This window comes from Homo sapiens, chromosome X, assembly GCF_000001405.40.
Source record: "Homo sapiens chromosome X, GRCh38.p14 Primary Assembly".
NCBI classification, from domain to species: domain Eukaryota; kingdom Metazoa; phylum Chordata; class Mammalia; order Primates; family Hominidae; genus Homo; species Homo sapiens.
In genome coordinates, this window is record NC_000023.11 from 137,093,922 (window position 1) to 137,097,621 (window position 3,700).

Genomic DNA, 3,700 nt, shown 5'->3' on the forward strand with positions numbered 1-3,700 from the left:
TTTATCTGCTTCAGAGTATAGAGAGTATTTTGAAAGAAAGGCCCATCTCTAAAGGGTATATAGATAAAGAAATGAGGTCTTAACAAAGTAATTATGCCAGCCTCAGGAAGCTGGGAGCCAGGGAGGTACTTTGCAAATCACTGAGAAACAGAAACCAGGGTGTGTCTGTACGCGTAGAGGGGATCAGGGATTCCCGACTCAGAGTCCAAACCACCTAAAACTGAGCCTTCCTTGCCACCTAAACTCCAGGCTCAAAAAGAAGTAAGTGAGTTTGGCAAACTCATTGGCCTCACAGCCTCAGAATGGGGTTGTTCCAGAAGCTTTGAGACCAGTTTCCTTGAACTTTAGGGTCACCTTTCTGCACTTTTCTATCCGGAAAAAATGGGAGGGAACAAAAATGCTCAGAGAGTCTGAAAACTCCCTGGTCTTCAATATCCTGGGAACTCTGCTAGACTATAAGCTACGTGAAGGCAGGGACACAATCTGTCTTGTTCAACACGGTTTCCTTGGCACTCAACACAGAGCCTGGTACCATAGTTAGCACTCAACAAATACCCACTCAATGTATGAATGTTTCGCTGAGTGAATAATATTTGTTGATTCCTACATTGCTAATTTCTAGTCATCATTCAAGTCTCAGGTCAACTGCCACTTCCTCCAAAAGTCAGTCCCTGAATTCCCCCTTACCATCCCAGGCCATGTTAAGCCCTTCTTTTATGCACTTCTTTAGTTATTCTTCTAATCATTTAGTGCATTTTTAAATGATAGTTTTGATGTCTATTTTCCCCCCTTGCCTGTAAGTCCCATGAAAGCAGGGATGGTGTGCATCTTTGTTACCGCTGCACACTTAGTGTCCAGTATAGGTGATACATAGATTTAATGAATAGGTGCAGTCTTTCCCTCATCTGGGTAAATTATTCTACCATGTGTTTTTGCTCTGCTTTTCCCAGCAGAAATTTGGGAACTAGAGAACCAGAGGCATGGCATTTAACTCCTTGACTCCTTTGTTTTGCTGGGCACAGAATGGATATAAATCAAGCACGGTTCATGATGGCTCCATCATGAAACACAGTGATGCTTCTTCTCTCTGGGGACAGCTGACACTGAGGTTCTGCCTACAATACACAATGATCAAACAGATTTAATAGGGACTAAACCCACAGATGTAAATATCAGTGGTCTAGTCTGACAGAAGGCCTTTTAATGGATCATATCAAACTATTGCCAAAGCCAGGCTCAGCCATGTTAAGAGGAGGTTAAGTAGAGACAGTTAAATCAGCCAATGTGGTTTTTGGCCCTTGGTTCTCATCTCTGCCCCTACAAATCCCAGGGTTAGCTAGGAGTGATTGGAGACTTGTCTGAAAGCTGCCCAGTAGCTGGGGGCAGTGGCTATAGAATAAAATTATCTTCTTCAGACGGCAGTCCAGGAGAGGCCTGGGGATTGGGGACCATCTGCCCTGGTGTGGCTTCAGGCACTGTCATGCAATGTGGCCTGTGGACAGAAAGAGTACAGGAGGTAGAGCCTCAAGAAGAATGCCCTCTAGCTCCAGGAAGACATCCTGCTTATGCTGTTACAGGACCCGATGCCGATGTAGACTAGTTCCTGATGTAAATGAACCCGGGGGCTGTGGGACAGGCTCCTAGTACCACTCTTAATTTCCCTAATGATCTGCTTCCATGTGCCATGTGGAGCCACAAAAAAGGGGATAGCTTGTGCCAAAAAAGAGAAACTACTGTTGAAAACGCCCTAGTAAGACCTTCACTTAGGATTTTTTTTCTCCCCTTTGAAAACATATAACTTAAGTAGCAAGTATAACCTTGACTAGGATGACCACATAATTTATTGTCCAAACCATGACCCTTTTGAAAGTGAAAGAGGACCCTGTTGATAATTATGCTGGGCCACAAACCTAACCTGAGACTATCCCAGGCAGTTTGGGATGTATGGGACCTGCAGCCTTGACCATCATCTTGGATGAGCTTTAAAGCTCTCTTGGACCCTGGCATCTAGCCATGTGGAATGTTTCAGATGGTTGATAATCTGCAGTAGGAAGGCAGAGCAGCTGGGCAGATCTAACAGCAGAGTCTGTGAGCAGCAGAGTCACAGAGCCATCTAGCCAACTGATGATGAGCATCTGCTGTGTGGACAGGACTGTTTGGTCATCCATCAATCACTTTTCATGCTCAGAGCTGTATGCACAAGCAGGATGACTGTCAGCAGACTAGTCTTCAAATGTAAATAACGGCGGCTTACCATCACAGAATGCTTCCTATGTGCTAGGCATTGTGCTAAGCACTCCTTATACCTTAGGTCCTACTGTATATTTGTTGATGTTCATAGCAAAGCCTTCCATATAGAAAGATTTTTGTATTTAGTGATTACCTTTATATTTACTGTCTTATTTGATCCTCACAACAATCCAAGGAGGTAGGTGTTCCTATTCCAATGGCCAGATGAGGAAAGTGAGGCTTACCAGATAAAATAGCTTGTAAATAACTGCTAGAACTGGGACTTAAATCCAGGTATGTTCGACTGCAAATTCTATACTCTTTTTTGATATCACACTTAGTTAATGTGTTAATTCAACAAATATTTGCAAGTTAGACACCATGTGGCAAAGACTGTGCTAAGTGCTAGGTGTATAAATATGCATTGGGCAGTGGGCTCAAGCTGTGAAAAGGTAGAAACATTTTCTGCCTCAAACAGCTCCTTTAGCAGGAGAGACAGGCACACAAACACATAATTTGAATACAATAGACTCGACACCATACTCTACATAATATTTCAATGAAATATAAAATACACAATAATATTGTATGATATATTAATATCATATGAACTACATTTATATATTCTATTATGTTTCTATTTTATAAATAAATATGTAAGATATGTACAAAGTGCTGTGGGAGCACAACAGAGAGGAACCTGAGAAGGTTTCACAGAGAGGGTAACATTTAGGATGGGCTTTGGAGGGTACCTAGGAGTTCGTCAGGCAGAGAAGTGAGGGAACCAAGCCCACACTTGGTGGAAGGAATAGACTGTGAAAAGGCACAGGAGAGAATGAGATGTTTGGAAAACAGCAAGCAGGTTGATGAGTCTTCCTCTGTGAAAATGGCCCACTTGAGGATTTACAGGTAAATTTATATGATACCTGAGGTTTGCTTTAAAATGCTCCAGAAAAACCAAAGTGTGTGGAATGGGGAGGAGAGGAAATAGATAAAACAAGAATGACAGGAATTGGATAATTTTGAAGCAGCAGGATGATAAGTATAGGGAGATTAATTTTAGTATGCTTTTCACTTTTGCATATGCCTGAAATTTTCCATAGTAAAATCTTTTTTGAAAGAAAAAAAGCAGTTTGGTGGAGATGGCACAAAGAAAGGGTGGAGGGAAGTGTTCAAATGTGAGGCCGATGAACTAAGTGGCATGGTTGCTGTGAGGGTGGGAGGGCAGAAAATGAAAGGTCCTCACAAGCCAGGCTAAGTATTCGGGACTTAATCCAGTATTTAATAGGGAGACATTAAAGGATTTTAATCATGGAGTTGACAAACTCATTGCATATTTAGAAGAGATCATTGGCTCTGTATAGGAATGGATTATGAGGCAGGGATTGGAGAGGTGGGGAAGCAGGTCCAGGTAAGAAGTGATGGGGGCCCAGGCAATTAAGGAAAAAGAGGTCAGAGTTACAGTCTTTGG

At 42.4% G+C, this 3,700-nt stretch overlaps 1 annotated feature.

Annotated features, from left to right (window-relative positions):
* Nucleotides 2,925-3,147: a silencer, noted in NCBI's record as "fragment chrX:136179005-136179227 (GRCh37/hg19 assembly coordinates)". NCBI's record gives its function as "represses an EF-1alpha promoter that drives an FKBP-Casp9 reporter gene in an ReSE screen in HepG2 liver carcinoma cells {active_cell/tissue: HepG2}" and the evidence as "EXISTENCE:reporter gene assay evidence [ECO:0000049][PMID:32094911]".